Source organism: Homo sapiens, chromosome 16 (assembly GCF_000001405.40).
Source record: "Homo sapiens chromosome 16, GRCh38.p14 Primary Assembly".
In the NCBI taxonomy this organism is placed as follows: Eukaryota; Metazoa; Chordata; class Mammalia; order Primates; family Hominidae; genus Homo; species Homo sapiens.
In genome coordinates this window covers 2737076-2760656 of record NC_000016.10, presented here as the reverse complement: position 1 = coordinate 2760656, position 23581 = coordinate 2737076, and the positions used below count along the sequence as shown (strand labels likewise).

Below are 23581 nucleotides of genomic sequence, written 5' to 3'. Positions count from 1 at the left end.
GTTCTGCAGATGCAGTAAGAGAACTAGGAGAGAAATGCAGGAAAAAAAACTGAATTTATTTATTTTAATAAGTTATTACCTCTCCCTTTCACATCACATGTCTATCCTAAATCTATACATTTGCAATCCAATGAACATCACCAACTCAGGAACATACCTCCTTCTTGTCTTTATCTTTGTCTTCATAAGGGCTGCTAGGCTGTTTCGTAGCAGTCTCCGGGCTACTAGGCCGTTGTGTGCTGGTAGTACCTGGTTCACTGAAAGGCGCATCTCCCTCCCCGCGTCGCCCTGAAGCAGGGGAAGGACTTCGCCCAGCCAAGGCAGTTGTATGAGTTTTAGCTGCAGCACTTCGAGACCTGCAGGAGTTAATTGAGGACGTGGGAGAGGAAGGAAATCAGCTCAAAGGGAGAACAGAAAACCCCCTCCCCAACTCCCATCCACCTTTCCTAACTGGACAACCCTCTTCCAAAAAGCCTTTAGTCGCACAACTCAAATCATTCACTGAAATGCAAGTACAGTCCACTTTGGTTCTTCTTTTCCCAACACAATCCCAAAGAGCGTTCTCCCTCTACCCCTTTACTCACCTCCCCCAAACATCCCCAAACCATCCACCCAGCCCACTCCCTACCCGCTTCATTCACAACTCACCTCTGAGCCCACCTCCTTCAGGAAGCCTTCCCCGATTAAGGAAGCCAGGGTAAGGATTCCTTCCTCCCCCAGACACCACGAACAAACCACCACCCCCCCTATTCTGGCAGTCCATATACATCAGAACGAAACAAAAATAACAAATAAACAAAAACAAAAAAAAAAAGAGAAGGGGAAATGTATATGTCTGTCCATCCTGTTGCTTTAGCCTGTCAGCTCCTAGAGGGCAGGGACCGTGTCTTCCGAATGGTCTGTGCAGCGCCTAGCACACCGTGGGCGCTCAATAAATATTAAATTAATTAACCCATCATTCCCTCTCCCTCCCTTCCTCCTGGACTACCCCTTACCGACTGCGGGAAGTATCGGAGGAGGAAGCAGAGTCAGCAGAAGTTGAACGGTGGGCCCGGCGGCTCTTGGGGGCTGGTGTTGTACTTCGAGACCTGAAGGAAGACCACCACCACAGCTCAGGGTACTGCTGTACCTGCCCTGGATTCTCCTCACGTATCCCTCAACCCTTTACCAGTCAGGGACATAACTCATTCAACTCCCTCCCACTAAGGTGGCGTTCACTTACTTCCTAAGCAAATTCCCCACAAATTCACTCACCGCTTTCGCTTTTTGTCCTTAGATTTACGTTTGCTCTTTGGAGTGGGAGACCTGGGAAATAAGGAAAGGTTGTTAAAAGTAACTTCTTTAAAAAAGGAAATAAAACCAAAAGTGAAATGGAAAGAGGGAGTGTTGACACAAGGAAGATCAAGGAATTGAGCTTCACTCCAAGAAAAAAAAATCACCACTCCACATGCCACTGCGCCCCCTATGAGTTAAAGAGCTCTTACCTATGCTTACGTTTCTTGGACTCAGATTCTGACCTGTTGGAAAAAAGAGAAGAAAAAACATAAGAAACACCTCTGCCTGAATTCAGCAAACCTTCTCCAGTCATTCAAGTATTCCCACCTCATACCTGTGCTTCTTCTTCTTTGAGCTTTTCTTTCTCTCCCGTCGAGGAGAGCTGCTCTCTGACCTGCTAAAGATGGATTCAAAAGCAAGCTCATCCTGCTTGGCTTCTTTCCTGGCCCTCCCACTTACAATCTCTCTCCTAAAAAGGTTTCTAAAACACTTGAATGTCCTAATAGCACTAATGCCCCAGACCTAAGCCCAGGACTTATTTCTTCTTTCTCCAACAAGCACAAGTAACTCCTTAAGTCAACAAACCTCAAAATGAAAAAGAAAATTCCAGAATCCAAAATGCTGCTGGCCAATCTTAATTAGCAGAACTGCAAACTCAACACTTCCCCACTGAGAAACTCAGGTATTTCTTCTAGTTGAGGCCTCAATGGTAACTCCCTCCTCCCTGACAACTATCTCCTGCTTTGTGGAAGCCAGAACTGTCCACTTCCAGAGAGAAAGGTACACCACAGGATTGGTCCTCTGGCTATCAGAGTCACTTTCCAACTAACTTACCGTCCTCTATCTTTCTTCTTTTTCTTCTTCTTCTGCTTTGGGGTTGGTGAGCGAGAACTGCTAGACTCCCGAACAAGGCTAGGGAAAAATGAAAAGCAGCAGAGATGGGTGGTAGAACAAACATTCCTTTCTTTTCTTTAAAAGACAGAGTCTAAAAAAATAGTAATAAAAATAAAAAAATAAGAGTCTCGCTCTGTTGCCTCAGGTGGGGTGCAGTGGCAGCAACACAGCTCACACCGTAACCTCCAACTTGTGGGCTCAAAAGACCCTCCTGCCTCCACCTCTCCAAGCAGCCTGGACTACAGGCATGTGCCACCAACCAGCTTTTTTTCTTTTTGTAGAGATGGGGTCTCACTACATCGCCCAGGCTGGTCTCAAACTCCTGGCCTCAAGTGATCTCCTGCCTGAGCTTCCCAAAATGCTGGGATTACGCGCGTGACCCACTGTGACTAACCCTTGGACACATTTTTTTGGACACCTCAACTTCAGAAGAACAAAATCTGAAGAGTTTGGGAAGAAACCAGCCCGCAAAAAGACAAAAATAGAGCATGGAGCTTACAATCAAGAAAAGAAGCTGACAGTGGTTTCTTGGCCTTGTATACCTGTAAGGTTTGGGAGGCTCAGGAGCTGGTTGTTTAGCTTCTCGGGCACGACGCTGAGGATCAAAAGAGCTGCCATCTACGTAAGAATCACTGATGCCAAAGGCAGCACGGAGTCTTTCATTCTTCTTCTCATTTAATTCTGCCAACTGGTGAGTCTCCGTGACCCTAGAGAAAAGAAGGGCAAAAGTCTGAAGGAAATATAAAGGACAGAGCCATATTCAGAACACAAGTATAAGCAGGAGCCAAATAAGGCATGGGAAAGGCAGACGAAAGCAGGGAGGAAGTCCCACGTAAGGAAAAGGACAGCAGCAGCAGCCAGCAGCCAGAGTAGAGTCCAGAGTCATCGAGGGAGAGCGCAACACTCACGCTGGCCTCTGCCCTGGGGTCTCCTCCTTGCCCCCAGGGTTCACATCCTTCTCCAGCAACATGAGTCGAAAGGTCGCCACTTTTTCCTGAATTTGCTGTTCCTCGTACCTGAAGAACAAATCCCTTCAGGGTTAAGCTCGACAGGACACTTTCCCCAGTCCCAGGTTTCCATTTCCCTCATTCCCAAAAGGGGCCCCTCCCTCTCCATGCGCACACAGAACTTTTCGCTCACCCAAAAGTCCCTTCTGTCTGATCTTTTCCCATCATCTTTCTTCCCTCTACTTACTACTCCCTCTAGAACAGTGGATTTTAAATATGCTACACCTCAGGGACCAAAAGAAAAAAGTTAAGCAAGCAGGGTTCCAAGTGCTCCTCCCCAACTTCAACAAGAATGTGCCTTTTACTTCCTGGGATTCCAAAGTAAGGGATACTGTATAAAAGGATCACCATTGCTGAAGTTTAAAACCACTGCTCTAAAAGAGTTTTCTGCCTTAATGGGCTCCTTTTCCAAAATTTCCCTTCCCAGCCCATGATTCCCACTTCTTCACGTATTCTTCTAATTCCTCTTTTCCTGCCTATGCTACTTTCCAAGGCCTCAATCCTTACATCCATTTATCTTCTTCTTTTCTACCAATGACAACACCTATCAGCTTACCTAGCTCCTCTACCTGGTCTCTGCTTTCCCATCTCTTCCTTAAAACACATTTTTGTTCCTCAATGGCCCCTCCCTTCTCCCACGTGCCTCCATTTAGTACCTCAGGCTCCCATCTATGCCCCAGACACACAGCCTTCTCATTTCCCACTCTGCACTGTCCCTTAACTGTTTTCACTTCTCTAGAGCTCATCTGCCTCCTCCCCTACCACAACTCTTTGCCAGGCCTCTTTCAACCACCCTAAGCTCCCTATACATCCCACCTAACACCCCCAGCTCTGCACTCATTCAGTGCTTGACTCTCCCCCAGCTCTCCCTCACCCCTGCTCTTCCATCATCTCCTCCAGCTCGAGGCATCGCAGCTCGACGCGCCGCTTGCGCTCGTGGTCCAGGATGTCAGGATTAGGCCGCTTCACCAGGGCAGCCTCCAGGCGCCGCAGTTCCTCCTCTCCCTTGTAGTCAGGCCGCTCACCCCGGCGGCCCCGCACCAGGGACAGGTTGCGCTGGACGTAGCCGTTGGTGCCGCTGCCCCGGGGCGTCGGCAGCCCGATCCCGTTGTACATGGCCCCGTGCCCGGGGGGGGCACCACCGCTCCTGAGGGGGAGCGGGGAGACACGGGTCAGGCCCCTGGCCCCAAACTAACCACTTACCGCCCCACACCCAAGTCCCTGCTCTCCTTCATCCCTAATTCAACATTGATCTTCACACTAAGTCTTCGCTGTATAATGCTCCACCATCCTCCTGGTCTCCCAAGAAAACCACTTCTTTGCCCTTCCAAATTTCCTTTCTACCAAATCACAGCCCAGTTCTTACAGCCTTTCTCTCAATGCCCTTGCACAGAATTCTAAATAATCCCTCCCTACACCTAAATTTTCTTCTTTTTCCACCCTAGGCAAACAAGGATCTTGTTCCTCTAAAATCTCTCCACACTGTCCCTTTTTGTTCTCCTTTGGCCCCAAAATGCACAAGTGGTGTGTTTACCAACTACTCTAATTCCTAACCTCTGGTAACCAACCAAAGCCTCCTGGTCACAACAAACACCAGACACAGATCTGTGGCACCCAACGGCCTCTAGTCCATGTCCAAAGACTCTCCCAAAAACTTACCTAAGGATTTCAGACCACCCTATACGAATATGAAATAAACTACACAGCCCCTAGGTATCTGAACAGCAGACTAGTTGGTTCAGAATGTGCAGCCTCACACCCCAACTAAAGGCCAGCATGCACATCAGAAACACACATGAACCTTGGATAATCGTCATATACTTCACCTCCCAGGTAAGGGCCATTTCCTTGATTCCAAATATTTAAAGATCCTATCAACTATCCTGATATTTTATTCCTTCAATTTCCTTCCTCTCAATAGGATTTACAACAATTTGCAGTTCCTCCCTGTCTTGCCAGCTGTCAAATATTACCTGTTTTCAACTCTGCTCTATTTAAACACATCAAACCAGCCTCCTCTGTTCCAACCGTTCCCATACCTTCTCCATATACCTTGCCCTAAATCTATGTAGAAACCCTCTCTACACCCCACTTTCATTAATGTCCAACCGTTGGCTTTCCCCACCAATCCCCTGGATAGCACTTCCTAGTTTTTCTCTCTCAGCCCTGCCTCTTCCTTCTCTCCTGTGTTAACCCCATGCCTCCTCCCAGGTTCTAGCCTTTCAACTTGTCCCAACCCTAACGTGATTCTGAAAAATTCTCAAGTCCCAGCTTTCCTGGTTAGATTCCTTGGCTACACATACTCTATTCCTTTCTCCTATTACATATACTCTCTTTCTCACCCTCATCCTCTCCAAGATAGTTTCCTAGAACATGCATATATGAGAAAATACTACTAAGAAAAAACCCTAAGGAATACGTAAAGCGGAGAGAGTAATCAAAGATGTAAAAGAACTGGATAGAAGGGAAGGATGCATTTAGAAAATTCCAGAATGAAGAAGCATCATACAAATGTTTGGAAAAATATACTAGCGCATGCGCCTAAGGATGGGTCCCTACCCAAGCCCAGTAGCAGACCCAATATTGAAAGCAGAAGGTGACAGAAGAGGCTAAACCTGGATAAGGCAAGCAGAAATCCAGGAAAAAATGAAAAACTGTATGGCTCAAAAAATCAATTTCTCTACACCCCAATCCTCATTTTCATCTTCTAGTACCAATCCTCCTCACGGTTTAAAACTAGGTCCTTCTTCGCCTCTCCCCTACCCCACTTAATTTCTGCTTCCCCTGCAGCATGTTTTTGACCTGCACTTAATTCTTCAGCTTAACCATTCACCCACACTTCCATACCACCTCACACAAAAATCCCCCCACTCCTTAAGAAAGGAAAACCAGGCCGGGTACGGTGGCTCACGCCTGTAACACCTGCACTTTGGGAGGCCGAGGTGGGCGGATCACCAGATCAGGAGATTGACACCAGCCTGGCCAACACGGTGAAACTCCATCTCTACCAAAAATACAAAAATTAGCTGGGCGGCGGCGATTGCCTGTAATCTCAGCAACTCCAGAGGCTGAAGCAGGAGAATCGCTTGAACCCGGGAGGCGGAAGGTTGCAGTGAGCCGAGATCGCGCCACTGCACTCCGGCCTGCCAACAGAGCTAGACTCCGTCTCGGAAAAAAAAAAAAAAGAAAAACCAGTAGGTGCTAAGCAAAGGATATTAGGTCACAATGTTTCGGAGAACTTTTAGGGAATGAGCCACCTAGTCCACCCCACAAAAAAAGACGACGACCCCACGGCATCTAAGGGGTGTGTTAAGACACAGAAAGTAGGAAGATCAACACCACACACAAATCACCAAACCAAACGATATTACAAAACTCTTAAAGTGGGGGCCATAGACAGTGGATATGCAAAAGTTACCCAAGTTAAAAGCAGAAAGTAAAAAGTACAAAGGAAGACAAAAACACCCTTTTCTGTTGGGAAATTATCCGAGTGGTAAGCTAACAATGAAGTAGAAAGATATATTTGAATTCAACAGTAAAATATGCAAAAAAGAAAACGGTACCAAAAGGGGAGAAAAAGGGGAGACAAGGGTTGTCGAAAAAAATGGACATCAGCAAGCACAGCCAGCTCAGCACCGGGGCGCTCCAGAGCGGCTGAGTGGACACAAAGAACCCAGAAAGCTAAAATAGTAGCTTTAGAAGAGCCCTAAGCCCACGCACTTAGGATGAAAGACAACACAACACTCTGAAATTCTGATCCAGATTCGTCCTAACTGAAGCCGAGTGGAAACCAAGCTTCAGAAGAGCTGTGTGCCAAAGAACGCCTGAAACCAACCAGAAAACTTATATATGAGTCTGGCGTTTTCTTCCCAACGAAGGTCTCCAAAAGCCTCCTTAGTTTGAACACGAATTCTCGGGAGACGTTGAAAAAGTGTAAAAAGGGAACGCACGGTCTACCTTACAAATGTAAACTGAACACGTTCACTTTCTTCACAGTTTTTAAGATTTGGGGTTTCTCCCCGCCACTAACAACTCAAAGGCTGATAGCCGGGAATCCTAAACCATTTAAATCCGGCCCACGAAGTTCAAGGCCCTCCCCGCAGCGCCGGGGGCCTATTTTCGGCCTTGCGGAATGGGGGAGGGGGCTGCGCGGCGTCCCGCAGTCTGGGAGGCCCCCGACACGGGCAGCCCAACGCCGAAGAGAAGCCCGAGGAAAGGAGATCTGGAACCGGGGGCAAGGGTCCAGGAGCAAGCCCCCCGCCGCCGCCCCTTCCCCGCCACTTAAGGGCCGAAAACGGCAGCTGCAGGAAGGCCACCTCGGCGGCACATGTTGGGGGGAGGAGTGAAGCCGAGGCGCGCGCCCTCCCCCCTCACCAAGGGCGCTCGCGAACCCGAGTACAGGCGGCTGCGAACGCCGTTGTCATGGGGGAGGGGCGGGGGGGGGTGAAGCCCGCGCGCGACAGGAACGGCGGGAAGGGGGAAGGGAGGCGAGGGCGTCCGCGCCAGCGAAGGGCGTCGAGCGCGCGTGCGCGCGGAGGAGCTCGGCGGCCTGGGCAGTTCTCCGCGCGCTTTGGCCTCGCGCCGGGGCCGCCGCCCCTCCCCCACCCGGCTCGCTGGCTCCCTCACCCTCTCACCCGCCGCCTCCGCCCGCCGCCTCCGAGGGGGAGAGGTCTTGCCGCCGCCGCTGCTCGAGCTCCCGAGTCCCTCGGGCCTGGGGCCGCCGCCTCGCCTCGCCGGTCCGCCCGCCTCAGCCGACGCCGACGCCTCCTCGCTTCCTCAGGGGCCGCAACGGGCTCCAACTGCGCCACTCGCACCCCGCCTGGGCCGCGCTGCACGTCAGCACGACTAACTGCGTGCGTCAGCACGCAAACGCGCGTCGCGGGGCCTGCCGGGAACTGGAGTGCGCCCCGCGGCCTTTTGCGCAGGCGCCGAAGCCACACCGCGAAGTACCGTTTTTTCAGGCACAAGGAAGGTTTCACCCCGTTGCCGAAAGACTAAGCGTCCCGTTGGCCAGTGCAACGAAGAACGGAGGAAGCGACGTAAGACACCGCGTATTCGTAGGCCTTCCGCTGCGGGGAGGAGCACAGGGCCTAGCGGCAGCAAAGCGACGCCCGAGCGCGTCTCGTCTCCCGCTGTCGATGCAGAGCATTCTGGGAGTTGTGGTTCGGGCGTGTCGCGGAGCCCGGATGTAATTTCGGCTCGGGGCGTGGCGGCCATTTTGTCTCCCCATGTTGGGAGACGATATCCCAGCCGCGGTGGTGCTGCCGCTTTCGTGTGACTTTGGGTTTCCCGAGCGAGCCCGCAGCTGCACAGCAGTCCGCCTTCCCGTACCCGAGAGAAGCCGCCTCAGACCCCAGCCAGCGGGCACCCCCGGAGGCCCCGAGCCTGGCTGCAGGCCCTAGACCTGCACCAGGGGCCCAACCAGTTACCCGTAGCATGGGCCACGTTCTCCCGCTGTAGACCGGGCTGAGGCCCGACGGCCACCCCTGGGGGAGGAGTTTTCTTAGCTTCCGGTAGGGCAGCCAGGCCGGGGTCCCACCAGACCCAGGACGTGATACCGGTGAAGCGGCACATACAGGAACAAGGCAGGAGGAAAATAATAAGCACCTTAAAGTTTCCACTTTTCGGTACCGTACTTCCTGTTAATGTTTCTAAGCCCGTGATTCTGGGCCTGATAATCAGCCAGCCGTCCTCACAGCAGAGTTGTAAGACGCTGGGCTGCTCAAGCACAAGTTCATATCTAGACCCACCGCTGGCGAGCAGCCCTGGACGTCCCGCTTAGCTGTCCTAACCAACTCAGGTGGCCTTGATCCGCAACAGGACGCGGTACCACGTAATGAACTGTCCATTTGAGTGCAAGGATTTATATTTGTTATTACGATTTGGGGGTGTTTTTAAGAGGCAGGGTTTTGCCCAGGCTGTTCTCGAATTTGGGGCTCAAGCGATCCTCCGACCTCAGCCTCCCAAGTAGCTGGGACTACCCGTGCATGACACCCTATCTGGCCCTTGTTTTTTGTTGTTGTTGTTGTTCTTTCTTTTTTCACGTGGTTTCGCACTTGTCACCCAGGCTGGAGTGCAATGGTGTGTTGTCGGCTCACTGCAACCTGTCTCTCAGGTTGAAGTGATTCTCGTGTCTCAGTCTTCCGAGTAGCTGGGATTACAGGCGTGTGCCACCACGCCTGGCTAATTTTTGTATTTTTAGTAAAGACGGGGCTTCACTATATTGGTCAGGCTGGTCTCGATTTCCTGACCTCAGGTGATCTGCCCACCTCAGCCTCCCAAAGTGCTGATATTACAGGCGTGAGCCACCACGCCCGGCCCGTATCCGGCTTTAAGATTTGTTTTTCACTTGCCCGTGGGAGGATGTACTTATCTCAGATGCTAGAGCCGGGAGACCCTCCCCCCCACCACCCCCATCTCCTGCAGGAGCTCTGATCGCAGATTGGAGTGTCTGAACTCTGCATCTATGGACGGTGCTTCTGTAAGCCGGCCGCAACTCTGGAGTGGCATAGTAAAGTGGCAAAGGCTTTGCCTTTCTGGTTAAAGACCCCAGCACCTCCAGTGAGACCCTTTCCTGTACCCCCACTGATATTCTTTATGGAATGTTTTGTGCGTGAGTCAGCACATTTAATGCCCGTGAATAGTGACAAAACATGGTTTGCAGTACCCTAATGACTGATGATGCTGAGAATCTTTTGATGTGCTTGTTGGCCGTTTGTACATCTTTGGAGAAATTTCTCTTCGTGTCTTTTGTCTATTTTATTTTTTTGGGACAGAGTCTCACTCCTAACCCCGGGCTGGAGTGCAGTGGCACGATCTCCACGCACTACAATTCTTGTACCTCAGCCTCCCAAGTAGCTGGGATTACAGGCGCACGCCACCACCCAGCTCATTTTTTTATTTTTAGTAGAGGTGGAGTTTTTTGTAGAGATTGTGTCTCCCTGTGTTGCCCAGGCTGGTCTTGAACTCCTGGGCTCAAACTGTCCTCCCCCCTTAACCTCCCAAAGTGCTGGGATTACAGGTGTGAGCCATGGCACCCAGCCCTAGAATGATTTTTTAGTTTCCCTTTAAACTTTATTTTTTTATTCACTGTAGTGTGGTGGACGGTGGTGCCCCAAAACTTCACAACCACCTAGACATTCGGAAGGTGACCTTATTTGGAATAAGAGATTTTGCAGATGTAATTGAGTTAAAGATCTGAAGATGAAATCATCATGAATTTAGGGTAGGCCGTAAATCCAATGACTGACATCCTTACAAGAAGACAAGAGGACACAGGCACCCGGGGGAAGAGGCCGTAGGAGACCCAGGCAGAGATTCGGAGCGGTGCCCATGCCAGGGATCTCCAGGAGGAGCCAGAAGCTGGGAGAGGCCCTGCAGATCCTCTCCCAGAGCCTTTGGAGGAGGCACAACCCTGTCCACACCTTGGTCTCCACTTTCTGGCCTCCAGAGCTGTAGGGGAACCCACTTCTGTGGTTTGAAGCCACCAAGTTCGTGGTGACTTATGGCAGCCCTAGGAAAGTGACATGCACAGGTAAACCACATTCACTGCAGGAAATATACAAATCAGCAAAAAGAAAAAAAGCACACAGGGGCACCACCCCCAGAGACAGCCATGGCTGACATCCTAGCGGCTGTCACCTCGGAGTGATGTTCCTAAAATGCAAACTTCTGAACTGCTTAAAACTCTTCCAGACACCCTCAGGTTGACATCACAACTCCTTTGTTGGGCCTTCCAAGGCTGGTCCTTCCCGTGGCCTCTTTTCCCTCCGCTCTGTGACAGTCCATGACGGGCACACTTGCCTATGCTTGTTCTCCCAGGCAGTGGCCTTGTGTGGGCCTTCAGCTTCCAGTTCCATGGCCTGGTGGAGGACCCTGTGGTGCAAGCCTTCCTCCAGACCCCCCTGGCCTGGGGCCCAAGACTGGGAAGCCTTTGGTGAGTGGAGCACCTCCCATTTGCACACTGGCTTCCTGGAGCTTACATTACAAATAACTAGACAATTACCAGCCAGGACAGGTGCTAGGGAGGATGGGAACAGGGTAGGGGGGTGAGGATGATGTCTGCAAAAGCATCCTGCCCTCCAGAGGGAGACCAGACCTTCAGGAAGGACAATCCCTGGGGTTAATGCCATAGCCTCCCACCTCCCAGCTGCCTGGGAGGGTTTCTCGAATTACCTTTTTATCTGGAGACCCCAGCCCCCATCCAACCCCTCCCACAGGGCTGCAAGCAGGGTCTCTTGAGAGGCCTTCTGGCTTCCAGGCCCCATGTGTGCTCCCAGCCTTCTGGGCAGGATGGACTGAGGCTGGTCCTCAGCGCAGGCATGGTGGGGCACACGGCAAGCAGAACAAGTGCCTGGGCCCTCTCTGTGCAGTACCCAGACCCCAAAAGTACTTGGCTCTGAACCTCTGAAACATGCCCTGGTTCCTGTACCCAGGACAAGCAGATATGAAACACTGGAAATGAGTGCCGGGAGGAATGGCCTTCCACGTGCAGCTGGCATGGCCCATGTCCAAGCCACTTCAGCGGCTCTTTCTGGCCTTGGTGTAGCACATCTGGTGAGGTCGATACTGTCCAGCCACCCCTTTCTTTTCTGGAGGGGGAGGAGGGATATTCTTTGTGATGTAAGGGTTTAGAGAGCTTTTAAAGCACTAATTGGGGCCAGGTGTGGTGGCTCACACCTGTAATCCCAGCACTTTGGGATGCTTGAGGCCCAGGAGTTCAAGACCAGCCCTGGGCAACATAGTGAGACTCCCCCCACCACCTCCCATTTCTGAAAAACAAACAGAGAAAAGCACTCATTTTATTTTCTTTCTTTTTTTTTTTTTTTTTGAGACGGAGTCTCGCTCCTTCGCCCAGGCTGGAGTGCAGTGGCGCGATCTCGGCTCACTGCCAGCTCCGCCACCCAGGTTCATGCCATTCTCCTGCCTCAGCCTTCCGAGTAGCTGGGACTACAGGCGCCCGCCACCATGCCCGGCTAATTTTTTGTATTTTTAGTAGAGAGGGGGTTTCGCCGTGTTAGCCAGGATGGTCTCGATCTCCTGATGTCGTGATCCGCCCGCCTCAGCCGCCCAAAGTGCTGGGATTACAGGCGTGAGCCATCGCGCCCGGCCAAGCACCATTTTATTTTCTTAAGATTCCTAGTCTCTTTGAAAGAGGTTACAGTCATAAATTTACAAAGTTTCTTTTTTGTTGTTGTTGTTTTTTGGGAAGGAGTCTCGCTCTGTCACCCAGGCTGGAGTGCAGTGGTGCTATCTTGGCTCACTGCAAGCTCCGCCTCCCAGGTTCATGCCATTCTCCTGCCTCAGCCTCCCAAGTAGCTGGGACTACAGGCACCCGCCACCACGCCCTGCTAATTTTTTGTGTTTTTTTAGTAGAGACAGGGTTTCACTGTGTTAGCCAGGATGGTCTCCGTGTCCTGACCTCATGATCCACCCGCCTTGGCCTCCCAAAGTGAAATTTACAGAATTTCAAAGCCTAGCACAATGGCACACCCGTGATCCCAGCTGCTTGGGAGGCTGAGGCTGGAGAATCACTTGATTGAGCCCATGAGTTCGAGACCAGCCTAGGCAACATAGCAAAACCCCATCACTACAAAAAGTAAGTAAATTATGAAAATCCAATTGAATTATGACTGCCAAGCTTGACGCTTTTGTATTTAAAAGTACTTCTTTAAAAAAAAACACATAAGGCCGGGCGCGGTGGCTCACGCCTGTAATCCCAGCACTTTGGGAGGCCGAGGCGGGCGGATCACGAGGTCAGGAGATCGAGACCATCCCGGCTAAAACGGTGAAACCCCGTCTCTACTAAAAATACAAAAAATTAGCCGGGCGTAGTGGCGGGCGCCTGTAGTCCCAGCTACTTGGGAGGCTGAGGCAGGAGAATGGCGTGAACCTGGGAGGCGGAGCTTGCAGTGAGCCGAGATCCCGCCACTGCACTCCATCCTGGGCGACAGAGCGAGACTCCGTCTCAAAAAAAAAAAAAAAAAAAAAAAAAAAAAAAAAAAAACACATAAAAGATGCATCAGACAAACACATCACTTAATAATTATAAAGTAATGAATATATAAAGACACACTTCCTCAAGTGCCTGACGTCTCAGCCCACTCTGCAGAGCGCCCGGAGCCGTAACAGGAGCCCCTCCAGTGCAGCCTCTGCAGAGTGTCCCTGCAGGACTGGAGCCACTCAGAGACGTCCGTGTTCAGGCACTATTGGCACAACTTCATCAGATTTTAAAAATGCAGGCTGGGCACGGTGGCTCACGCCTGTAATCCCAGTACTTTGGGAGGCCAAGGCGGGCGGATCACCTACGGTTGGGGGTTCGATACCAGCCTGACCAACATGGAGAAACCCCATCTCTACTAAAAATACAAAATTAGCTTGGCATGGTGGCGCATGCCTATAATCCCAGCTACTCAGGAGGCTGAGGCAGGAGAATCGCTTGAACCCGGGAGGTTGCAGTGAGTCGAAATCATGCCATTACACTCCAGTCTGGGCAACAAGAGCAAAACTCCGTCTTAAAAAAAAAAAAAAATGCAGCCTGGCCAACATGGCAAAACCCTGTCTCTGCTAAAAATACAAAAGTTACTCGAGCATGGTGGTATGCACCTGTAGTCCCAGCTACTCGGGAGGCTGAGGCAGGAGGATCACCTGCGCCTTGGGGGGTTGAGGCTACAGTGAGCCGTGATCGTGCTGCTCCACTCCAGCCTGGGTGACAGAGTGAGACTCTTGTCCCCTCCCCCCAAAAAAAAGCCTAAATGCCCATCTACAGGAAATGAGTTAAATTCATTTGAAATTCATTAATTATGAAATTGGGCCCACCTGGTTGATGACATGATTAATTTAACTCATGAATCACTGAATAAAGAGGAGCTCTGCGACCCGGCACGGTGGCTCATGCCTGTAATCCAAGCACTGTGGGAGGCCAAGGCGGGTGGATCACCTGAGGTCAGGAGTTTGAGACCAGCCTGAGCAACATGGTGAAACCCCATCTCTACTAAAAATACAAAAATTATCTGGGTGTGATGGTGGGCACCTGTAATCCCAGCTACTCTGAAGGCTGAGGCAGAAGAATCTCTTGAACCCGGGAGGTGGAGATTGCAATGAGCCGAGATCGTGCCACTGCCCTCCAGCCTGGGCGACAGAGTGAGACTCTGTCTCCAAAAAAAAAAAAAATGGAGCTCTGCATTCTCCTGGTGCTCAAGGCACCAACCATGTCAGGCAACATTGTCATCAGGCTAGTAGGTGGGTGCAGAGATCCAGGGGCAGGTAGGTGGCAGACAAATCCAGGCAGCATCCAGGAGCCCTAGCAGCTTCCCTGCTCCAGCTTGGTGACCGCAGCCAGACGCGCCCACTCCTCAATGCTGCACCGGGAGCCTGTGGAAACCTTTGTGACCCAGGTTCGGCTCGTGGGCCAGGACACGATGCACTTCCCCTCAGCAGGGACAGTGCTCGGCACAGTGCCTGCAGCCTTCACACAGCTCAGCTCTTCTTTCTGGGAGCTAGGAAGCTGTCAGCTTAGCTCTCTGTGAGTGGGGTTTTTAAAATTCTGTTTGCAGTCAGAGCTTATGGTCCCAACACACAAATCCCCACCTATGGGCCTGTCAAGGAGGCACAGGGCCCACGCCCATCCCTCCAGGTGCCCTTCTGCAAGTGACAAGCACCCACAGCCTCAGGGGAGTCCTCAGTCCCCCAGCTGAGCGTGTTGCTCTCTGCAGGGTTGGGTGCCCGAGGTGCCTAAACCAGGGAGGAAGATCGTCTAGTGGGCTGTATGCCCAGCACCACTCAAGGCCGTAGGTGCGAATGTGGATTCCAGTCCTCGGGGGCCCTGGAGAGGGGACCTTTCCATACTTGGGGTGTAGGAACAGTGGGAGGCAGATGTAGGGAGAGGAGAGCTTGCACAGCCAGGCAGGGGCAGGAAGTAGGGGGCTGAGACGCAACGGGTGGCCAAGATGCAGTCCCTCTCCTGCAGGGGTCTCATCGACCCCTGTACACTAAAGACTCCGTCTCCATCTGTGTGTGCGGGGTTTGCTAGGTGAGGTCTCCAGTGCCTGAAGCCCTGTGTGCCAGGGCTGGGTCTACCCCAGAGCCCCACGCACCTTCCAGGTCAGCCCCAGTGGCAGTGCTGCTGTCTTCCTCTGTGATACACAGCCGCAATTCCCCCCTCCCCAGCTTCCCTCCAGGCCAGTGTGGCTGATTTTGCCCACCCAGGAATGCCCTGTGCAGAGGCCCCTCCAGGCAGGTACCTGCAGGGCTGAGGAGGGCTTGTGAGCTCCTGAGTGGCCCAATCTGCCCCCAGAGAAGGTTGGCTCCAATACCGTTACTTGATGGCAGACCAGTCCCTGTGTTTTGAGCAGAAAATGTTCCAATACAGAGCGACTCCAAATAGTTCAAAAATACAAAGCGTGTTGGGAGGAGTCTGGCTTGCTGCCCTTCCCCCCTTACCTGTCCCACCCCAGTGGGTCAGCCTGGGGTTGGTTTCTCCCATGCCTTGTGTATCTTTGGACAAACCCCCCTGTGGCTGTCTGCCTTCTTCATGGCACAGGCCAAGCTGTGTCAGGAGCATGCTGCGCTGCCCTGGCCCGGAGGGACATCTCTGTCACAGCATAAATGCATCTGTGACCTGGTCAATGGGGTCACTCTGCCCTCTGCAGCCAGGTACTAATTGTTCCCTGCCTGTAGTGCCCAGATGCCTGTTCAACAAAACTTTGCCGCCAGAGCGTGTTGCCTTTTTTTTTTTTTTTGAGATTGAGTCTCACCCTGTTGCCCAGGCTGGAGTGCAGTGGCGTGATCTTGGCTCACTGCAACCTCTGCTTCCCGGGTTCAAGCAATTCTCATGCCTCAGCCTCCTGAGTAGCTGGGATTACAGCCACATGCTACCACACCCGGCTAATTTTTGTATTTTTAATAGAGACGGGGTCTCACTATACTGGCCAGGCTGGTCTCAAACTCCTGACCTCAAGTGATCCACCTGCCTCGGCCTCCCAAAATGCTAGGATTACAGACATGAGCCACCATGCCTGGCCCAGGGTGTGTTGCTTTTTGCCTCTCTCCCCAAGAAGTTTGCGTTTCCCTGTTATGAGACTGAGGATCCTCTGTACATGAGAGGTCATTTTAATTTCCCTTCCTGTGAACTGTGTGTGCAGACCCCACGTGAGGTTCCTGTGGTTGCCGCAGCCAATTCGCACAAACCAAGTGGCTATAAACTCCAGTATCGGACCTGACGGTTCTGCGGCTAGAAGTCCAACAGGGGTCTCACCGGCTGGAACGCATGTGCCCCAGGACTGTGTTGCTGCCTGGAGGCTCTCAATGAGAAATCCATCTCCTTGCCTTCAGCTTCAAATGCTGCCTGAGACCCTTATCTCATAGCTGCCTCCATCCCCAAAGCCAGTAGTGGCGGACAAGGCTTTCCCCTGTTGCCTCTCCATGTTCTGAGGCTCCTGCCTGACCTTGCACATTTCAAGACCCTTGTGATCACACTGGGCCCCAGATCCTCAGGACACTCTCTCCATCTGAAAACCAGCAGTGGCATCCTCCCTTCTACCTCGATTCCCCTTCATCATGGGGTAGTGGTGTTCACAAAGGAATCACAGGTCCCTTCACTCTGTTTCTTTGGGGTCTTTGGCCTTCCTCTTCTCTTTTTCCAAGACGCCTGCAAATATCCAGGAAACTGGGTCTGTTTCTCATGTGACCTGCCAAATGTTTCTTTCCAGTTGACAGCATCCGTTTACACTTTACCAACGATGTTTGTTGTTTTTGTTGCAGAAGATTTCAGTTTGTAAGTAGTGAGAGCAATGATCTTGGCTTTGCATGGTGCTCAGGAAGCCTTCCCCGCTCCCAAACCAGAAAGGAATCCATCCAGATTTTCCTCCACTGTCTGGATGGCCGCTCTGTGGATGCTTCCATCTGTATCCATTGCCGGCACCTGGTGAGGTATGAGGAATGGGGCCCGGCTTTCCAAACACTCTCCAGATGCCCCACCCTCTGGATGGCTTCTGGCTGCCCATGGGGACACCGTGGACCTTAATGGTGGAGGAGCCAGGGTGAGGTGACTTGGGATGAAGTCCCATGACAGGGTCACAGGGTCGTACAGGAGGGAGCAGATTTCAGACTAGCAGGGTGGGAGCCCTGTGGGGGTCCTCCGAGGAGCAGATCCTGGTCCAGACACCCACAGAGGGCTGGGGTGGGGGTATCCTGGCCAAGGGGGTGTGGCCAGCAGCACTTTCCCTGCTCTGTGCACCCTGGGCCTCCATTCTGCGAAGGCCTGGGGATGTGCCGGTGGCAGAACCACGCGCCTCAGGAGAAGGCCCGCCGTCCTGTCGGGCATTGCCACATCCTTGCCTGGAGAAGCAGAGCCTCCCCCAGCGTCCAGCTGGCTGGCAAGTTTTCGAGGACGCTTTACACTTTTCCTAAATAAGCTGCACACTTACAGTGAAATCATCTCCTCCCTCCTAACACAGCCACCCCATACCCTAGTATTGGCTGCAGCACAGCTCTAGAGTGAGGGATGATCTCCAACACAGACAACGCAAAGCCTCCCTTCCACTCCCACGAGAAAGGCCTCTGTGGACCCCTCAGGCTCCATCCCCGGGCTGGTATCCCAGGCTCAGCAGGAGCAGTGCTGGGGGACTCTACGGGACCTCGTACCCCAGAGCCTAGAACCCCCCGTGCGGTGTGCCTGGCCCTCACTGTGAGGACTACGCCGGCCGCTTCTGCTCTGAGAGCCTTCATGTGTCCCCCTGGCTCCTTCCACCAGCCCAGGGGTAGAGGGTGGGATGCCAAGGCCTCTGGGAGACAGAACTCAGAGGGGCAGAGTCCCTGCCCAGAGGCCACCAGCAGGTCCCTGCAAAGGGCAGAGTGGGCAGTATCTGGTGTGGAGCCTGTACTCAGTGGGATGGGGCCATCGTGAGGGTCCAGGCCAGCCTGTCTGAGACCTCTGCTCACTGCTCCAGTCTGTCCAGGCCCTGGGTCTCCTGGCCCCCACTCCAGTGGCATCTTTGTGAGGATTAGATTATGGTGCCCTCCCCCAACCCCAGGTGTCCCAGCCCTCTACCAAGGCCCATGACCCAGCCCTTTAGAGTCTGGTTTGGACATGGCACCTGCTAAGCCCAGGCCAGCAGCCCCATGGGATGGACTCCCCACTGCCGGTGTCTGCCTCCTGGGTCTGAGGAATCTTTTTTTTTTTTTTTTTTTTTTTGAGGCAGCGTCTCACTGTGTTGCCCAGGCAGGACTGCAGTGGTGCGATCTCAGCTCACTGCAACCTCCACCTCCCGGGTTCAAGCAATTCTCCTGCCTCAGCTTCCTGAGTAGCTGGAACTACAGGTGCGCCACCAACCCAGCTAATTTTTCTTTTTCTTTTTCTTTTTTTTTTTTTTTTTTTGAGATGGAGTCTCACTCTGTTTCCAGGCTGGAGTGCAGTGGTGCAATCTCAGCTCACTGCACCCTCAGCCTCCCAAGTAGCTGGGACTACAGGCACATACCACCACACCCAGCTAATTTTTGTATTTTTAGTGGAGATGGGGGTTTCACCATGTTGGCCAGGATGGTTTCGATCTCCTGACCTCGTGATCTGCCCACCTCGGCCTCCCAAAGTGCTGGGATTACAGGTGTGAGCCACTGCACCCAGCCCTAATTTTTGTGTTTTTATTAGAGTTGGGGTTTCACCATGTTGGCCAGGCATGTCTGAGAATTCTACAGCTTCATTTTGTGCCTAGGGCCAGGACAGTGGAGGTTGTGGGCCACACAGCATTCCCAGGTAGCTGAAGCTTCTCTGTTGATGGAACAGCCCCAGGCACGTGGCTTGGCTTGTGGTGTGAGGGGTGGCCATTGGGTCCATTGCTGTGGTGTCACTGTTTGCTTCTCCGCACCAAGAGACTCCACCTGGGACCCGCCTGCTAGGGGCTAGCGTCAGGGTTAGGTTAGGGAGGAGGTGGCTTCATCTGAGCTCCAGGACATTGGCTGGAGCTTCCTTTGCTTTTCTGTCACGGTGTGGTCCCCAGTCCTTGGGACAAACTCACCTGAGTCCCTGAGGTTTCCCCCTCCTGCTGCCCCTGGCCTGAGCTCTGAGAAGCCTGACCCCAACCCTCCCAGAGCTTCCCTCGAGGGGCCCTTCGTAGGCTGCCCTGTGTTCACTACCCTCCCAGGTCCAAGTCTCACCTCCTCCAGAAGGCCTCCCAGGACTGCTGGCCCCAGACACAGAACTCCCAAGGGAAGGCTCTTCCACTAAAAGTCCAGCTGCAGCGATAATGATGAGTTTGGAGAGGGCTGCAGACCCTGAGGCAGGGGTTGGTGCAGGGGCTGGACCTGAAACTGGGTTCACACAACAAGCTCGGACTCCTCTTAACACTCCTGATTGGTGACATTATGGGGTCTTGGATGCCTCCTCCTCTCTGTCCCTCGTACTGCCCCTGCCACCTGGGACTCCACCAAGTTCCTTCTCCACCAGCCATGAGGAGAGCCTGCCCAGGGGCCAGCACTCTCTCCCTGAGCCTTAGAACCAGGAGGATTCTCACTGCTTCTATGTCACAGTAGGTAAAAAACACATAAAATAAAATGAAATATCATGATCACCTGAGAAGAAAGTTCAGAGTAGGCCCGTATCACGTGTTTCCAGAGAATCCACAGCTTCCCTATGAAGCCATTGCTGGCATAGGGAAGGGTGGGGCCAGGAAACAGCCGCTATCCAGCCCCTCCAGGTTGACTCAAGTCAGAGTGTGTGGGGGCCAGTCATGGAACAGAGGGAGCCTCCTGCCCAGGGCAAGCGTGGGGAGACCACCAGGGGCCCCAGACAGGTGAGCCGCTCCAGCAGGGACAGCACAGGTGGTGCATGGTCGGGGCTGGACATCGGGGTTAGTCGGCAAGGATGAGGAGTCTCTGGGGATGGAGGCTGAGGCTTGGGGTTCTCAGGCAAGGGCAGGCCTAGGTGCAGCAGAGAATTGTTTGGAGGGAGGAAATCAAGCTTTCCTTCTAGAAAGGGTGACAGGGACCAAAGGGAGAGGGCAGGGACAGCCCCTGGAAAGGGCAGGTGAGGAAGGTGAGGCTGGAGGGGACCCAAGAAGGGATCCTGGGGAGGTAGTGGCCAAGAGCAGGGTGAGGGCCAGGCCGCACCTTTCGCTGTACCCAGCTCTCCCTGGGGTGGCCCTGGCCCTGCTCTGCTGTCCCCTGCAGGACAGGTGCCTCAGGCTTGTCCCAGCTTGTCCTACAGCAGGTCCTCAGCACCCACAGGTCCTGCCTTGGGCTCTGCAGAAGCAGGGAGTGGTGAGGTCAGGACCCTGGGCCACAGAAGAAATGGTCTGGGGGACAAGGACGGGGGTTGGGGGACTGACAGCTGTTTTCTGAAGGCCCGGGGAGTGGAGGAGAGGGGTGAGGGGCCAAGGCTTGGGGCTCAGTATGGGGGCAGCTGCAGGGGGTGAGGGGGCCAGTGGGGCCAGTGAAGAGGGCCTAGGGTCTGGTATCTGCAGCAGGCACTCACAGAGGACAGACTGTTTGCAAGGTAGGTCAGGTGACAGGGAGCCAGGGGGGCTGAGGAGGCTCAGGGCCTGACTCCAGGGAGAGCAGTTGCCATCCCCCAGGTCCAGAGGGGCCCTGGGAGGAGTCCAGGCAGGGCTGAAGCTGGAAGAAGTAAGAGGGGCTGGCACTCAAGGACTGCAGCCACTGGCCAGGTGGGGCCAGGTCGGACCGGCTGCCTTCCCTGGTCTCAGCCCCAGCCTTCTGTGGCTGCCTCCCCCATCGGAGCCATCAGAGAGCAGGATGTGGGAGGGGCAGGTGAAGGACAGCCTCTGTGATAGTCCCTGGTGTGCTGCAGCCTGGGGTGAGGGGCCTTGGGGATGGGAAGGGCTGGGAGCTGGGAGACGATGGCTCCCAGCACTTGGTCCTGAGGGGCCTTGGAGCAGCTTCCCCCAGGCCTGCAGAGGCAACTTCTGACACTCGGGGAGCTGAGGCCAAGGGAAGGCTCCCCAGACACAAGGAGAAGGGGCTGGGGGCAGCCAGAAGGCTTTGGGCTACCCTCCCTGGAGGCTCAGGTCCCAGGTGACCCCTCCAGCTGTGTTCCTTCCAAGATTGGGACCTGCAAAGATTGCAGATGTGAGGAAAGGAAGGTGTCTTGGGCATTCTTCCCAGTGTGGCTGAGCTGTGCCTGTGAGGACATGCAGACACTCAGAGGACCTGTCCTCAGGGGCCCCAGGGTGAAGGTCAAGATCTCACCTTACAACCAGCCGGGCCCTGACTACTTCCAGCCACCAGGCCCCCAGGACAGGAGCAGGACAGTGGTTATTTCCCCAGTGGACGGGGGGCTCCAGGTCACATAAGAATAACATGCCCTGTGACAAGGCGTGGGGATGAAAATGCTTCCCCCTGGGCTGAGATTCCAGGACACCTGAGATGGGGGGACCCCGGCCACATGTTTAGAGCTCTCAGGGAACCTGGAGGGCCCCTCAGCCTCTGTTCCCCTACTGGGGAGAACAGAGGCCTGGTGGTAGCAATTTCAGGGAACTCAGAGAAACACTGTTCCCCAGACCTTGGAGCTCCCTCTGTGCCTGGCTCTCACTGTGAGGCCCCCCACCAGCTGGTCCTGCTCAGGGAGCCTCCACGTGTCCCCCTGGTTCCTCCGGCCAGCCTAGGGGTGGAGGGTGCGGTCCCCATGGCCTGTAGGAAGTAGGGCTCAGAGGGGCAAAGTCACCGCCCTGAGGTCACCAGGAGGTCCCGGCAGAGGGGGTTGGGGCCTGGCTCAGGGCCTGTTCTCCCTGCTGAGCTCAGTGGGATGGGGCCATCTCAAGGGTCCCACTGTTTTTCTCTGGTCTCTGCCCCAGCATGTGGTGGGACCTTGATTTCCATACTCTCATGTCACCAGTCTGTTGGGGGGCAGAGGTTATGGGGTCACTGATATCACCTGGCTCATTCCTCCCCCATCCAGGCTGTCCCATGAGAATGTCTAATCTGTATGTCATCGGAGTCAATAATGTGTTTTGCTATCGCTCTGGTTCCAGGGATATTGCTCAGCCAAAGGGCCAGCATCCCAGTGAAGAAGATCAGAAAGAGGCTTCCGGTCACCAGGAGACTCCTGGGGAGGGCCTAGGCTGGGAGTGGGACACGGGTGGGGTTGGATGGAAGAGTACCAGGTGGGCCTAGGATGGATGGAGGAGGCTGTGTCCCCAGCTACAGGCCTGGAGATGTTACGGGACCCAACAGGCCCCCAGCCTCCATCCCCGTGCTGGGTTCTCAGGTTTAGTGGGGGCAGTGCCTGGGGACTCAGAGGGACCCTGACCCCAGAGCTTGGAGACCCCTCTGGAGCATGCCTGGCTCTCACTGTGAGGCCCGCACCAGCCAGTCCTGCTCTGAGAGCCTCCTCGTGTCCCCCTGGCTTGTCCTGCCAGCCTGGGGGTGGAGGGTGTGGTCCCCATGGCTTGTGGGAGGGAGGGCCCAGAGGGGCAAAGTCACCACCCTGAGGCCACCAGGAGATCCCTACAGAGGGCAGAGTGGGTTGGGGCCTGCCTTAGGGTCTGTTCCCCTTGAGCTCGGTGGGACAGGGCCATCTCGAGGGTCCCAGTGTTTTTTTCTGGTCCCTGCCCCAGTGTTTAATGGGACACAGCCCCTCACATCCCCAGTCTGTGGGGGGCAGAGGTCATGGGTCACTGACATCCCCTGGCTCATTCCTCCCACATTCACCCAACAGACCCCTTATCCTCCATCCCCCTGCTGAGACTGGGGATTGGCTCAGGGCCTGTTCTCCCCACTGAGTTTGGTGGGATGGGGCCATCTTGAGGGTCTGGGTGTTTTTCTCAGGTGGGACCTAGATCCCCACAGTCCCTCACGTGCCCAATCTGTGGGGTGGGCATGGGGTCACCAAGGTCACCTGGTTCATTCTTCCCCCATCCAGATTCCGTCTCTAGAGCCTTTGAGGTCACTCCTGACGCTGACATGGCTGTGAAGAGCTGGGTGCCAGGCATTACTGCCTCCAAGGTTGCTTTGCGAGGAATAGGTGGGGCATCAGGAAGAAGCCAGTTGCAGGTCAGGAGAGAGCACTGCCTCAGCTGGGGAGGGCCTGGCTGGGGGTCCCTAGGGCAGTGCAGGGCCCGAGAGTTAGAGGGAGGCCCAGGATGGGTGTGGGAGGCTGGGGTCAAGGCTAGGACTGGAGCTCGGCTCTCTAAGACCCTGAGGCCCCCTCCCTCCTTTTGTTGCCTTTTGTCGCCCTCCTGCAGGCAAGGCCTCTGCTGATGCTGCTTTTTTCTCCTGTACCCATCCATGGGAGGGAGCTGTGAGATGGCCTGGCAGAACCCGCTCTTGGACCCCACAGAATGAGAGGCTCACCCTGCACAGGAACATCCTGGGGCAGCAGGCTCAGCACATTTTAAATTTTGAGTATGAACAAAGTAAACTTCAGGGTTAAAAAAAAACACAAAAATTTGTCGAGC

General features: G+C 53.9%; 1 protein-coding gene and 1 long non-coding RNA gene across 4 annotated transcripts in view, besides 10 other annotated features; one reads left to right on the top strand and one right to left on the bottom strand.

Annotated features, from left to right (window-relative positions):
- SRRM2 (serine/arginine repetitive matrix 2) overlaps positions 1-8019 on the bottom strand; it is an 18775-nt gene extending 10756 nt beyond the window's left edge. The window contains exons 1-10 of one of the 2 annotated variants that reach the window (NM_016333.4): positions 7811-8019; positions 4051-4323; positions 3078-3185; positions 2712-2876; positions 2110-2187; positions 1610-1672; positions 1485-1517; positions 1255-1305; positions 996-1088; positions 158-356 (exon numbers count right to left, since the gene is read on the bottom strand). In NM_016333.4, the coding sequence (NP_057417.3) occupies positions 158-356; positions 996-1088; positions 1255-1305; positions 1485-1517; positions 1610-1672; positions 2110-2187; positions 2712-2876; positions 3078-3185; positions 4051-4292 (1032 nt within the window). In that variant the 5' untranslated portion in view covers positions 4293-4323; positions 7811-8019. Of the gene's footprint in view, positions 1-157; positions 357-534; positions 911-995; positions 1089-1254; positions 1306-1484; positions 1518-1609; positions 1673-2109; positions 2188-2711; positions 2877-3077; positions 3186-4050; positions 4324-7550; positions 7752-7810 lie in introns of those variants that run through there. The other variant, XM_047433882.1, reaches the window with a different exon arrangement.
- Positions 1930-3129: an enhancer, noted in NCBI's record as "BRD4-independent group 4 enhancer chr16:2807529-2808728 (GRCh37/hg19 assembly coordinates)". NCBI's record gives its function as "activates an origin of replication core promoter dependent on BRD2, P300/CBP, MED14 and CDK7 cofactors, and independent of BRD4, by STARR-seq in HCT116 cells {active_cell/tissue: HCT116}" and the evidence as "EXISTENCE:reporter gene assay evidence [ECO:0000049][PMID:35650434]".
- Positions 6611-7453: an enhancer, noted in NCBI's record as "NANOG-H3K27ac-H3K4me1 hESC enhancer chr16:2803205-2804047 (GRCh37/hg19 assembly coordinates)". NCBI's record gives its function as "activates a minimal SCP1, AML or CMV promoter by ChIP-STARR-seq in naive and primed H9 embryonic stem cells {active_cell/tissue: H9 hESC(naive and primed)}" and the evidence as "EXISTENCE:reporter gene assay evidence [ECO:0000049][PMID:30033119]".
- Positions 7454-8296: an enhancer, noted in NCBI's record as "NANOG-H3K27ac-H3K4me1 hESC enhancer chr16:2802362-2803204 (GRCh37/hg19 assembly coordinates)". NCBI's record gives its function as "activates a minimal SCP1, AML or CMV promoter by ChIP-STARR-seq in naive H9 embryonic stem cells {active_cell/tissue: H9 hESC(naive)}" and the evidence as "EXISTENCE:reporter gene assay evidence [ECO:0000049][PMID:30033119]".
- Positions 7454-9139: a biological region, named in NCBI's record as "NANOG-H3K27ac-H3K4me1 hESC enhancers GRCh37_chr16:2801519-2802361 and GRCh37_chr16:2802362-2803204".
- Positions 7608-7667: a silencer, noted in NCBI's record as "silent region_7072". NCBI's record gives its function as "represses an Ori minimal core promoter by ATAC-STARR-seq in GM12878 lymphoblastoid cells {active_cell/tissue: GM12878}" and the evidence as "EXISTENCE:reporter gene assay evidence [ECO:0000049][PMID:35858748]".
- Positions 7688-7997: a silencer, noted in NCBI's record as "silent region_7071". NCBI's record gives its function as "represses an Ori minimal core promoter by ATAC-STARR-seq in GM12878 lymphoblastoid cells {active_cell/tissue: GM12878}" and the evidence as "EXISTENCE:reporter gene assay evidence [ECO:0000049][PMID:35858748]".
- SRRM2-AS1 (SRRM2 antisense RNA 1) lies at positions 8057-23581 on the top strand. 2 transcript variants are annotated; one of them, NR_027275.1, is made up of 6 exons: positions 8057-8215; positions 10998-11112; positions 16938-17105; positions 22157-22215; positions 23047-23177; positions 23369-23581. It is a non-coding gene; the product is annotated as an SRRM2 antisense RNA 1 (long non-coding RNA). The 2 variants fall into 2 exon arrangements; NR_027274.1 differs by lacking the exons at positions 8057-8215; positions 10998-11112 and adding exons at positions 15860-16202; positions 19316-19699 and having other exon boundaries at positions 22157-22288.
- Positions 8178-8467: an enhancer, noted in NCBI's record as "active region_10281". NCBI's record gives its function as "activates an Ori minimal core promoter by ATAC-STARR-seq in GM12878 lymphoblastoid cells {active_cell/tissue: GM12878}" and the evidence as "EXISTENCE:reporter gene assay evidence [ECO:0000049][PMID:35858748]".
- Positions 8297-9139: an enhancer, noted in NCBI's record as "NANOG-H3K27ac-H3K4me1 hESC enhancer chr16:2801519-2802361 (GRCh37/hg19 assembly coordinates)". NCBI's record gives its function as "activates a minimal SCP1, AML or CMV promoter by ChIP-STARR-seq in naive H9 embryonic stem cells {active_cell/tissue: H9 hESC(naive)}" and the evidence as "EXISTENCE:reporter gene assay evidence [ECO:0000049][PMID:30033119]".
- Positions 8528-8697: an enhancer, noted in NCBI's record as "active region_10280". NCBI's record gives its function as "activates an Ori minimal core promoter by ATAC-STARR-seq in GM12878 lymphoblastoid cells {active_cell/tissue: GM12878}" and the evidence as "EXISTENCE:reporter gene assay evidence [ECO:0000049][PMID:35858748]".
- Positions 21500-22077: an enhancer, noted in NCBI's record as "H3K27ac-H3K4me1 hESC enhancer chr16:2788581-2789158 (GRCh37/hg19 assembly coordinates)". NCBI's record gives its function as "activates a minimal SCP1, AML or CMV promoter by ChIP-STARR-seq in naive H9 embryonic stem cells {active_cell/tissue: H9 hESC(naive)}" and the evidence as "EXISTENCE:reporter gene assay evidence [ECO:0000049][PMID:30033119]".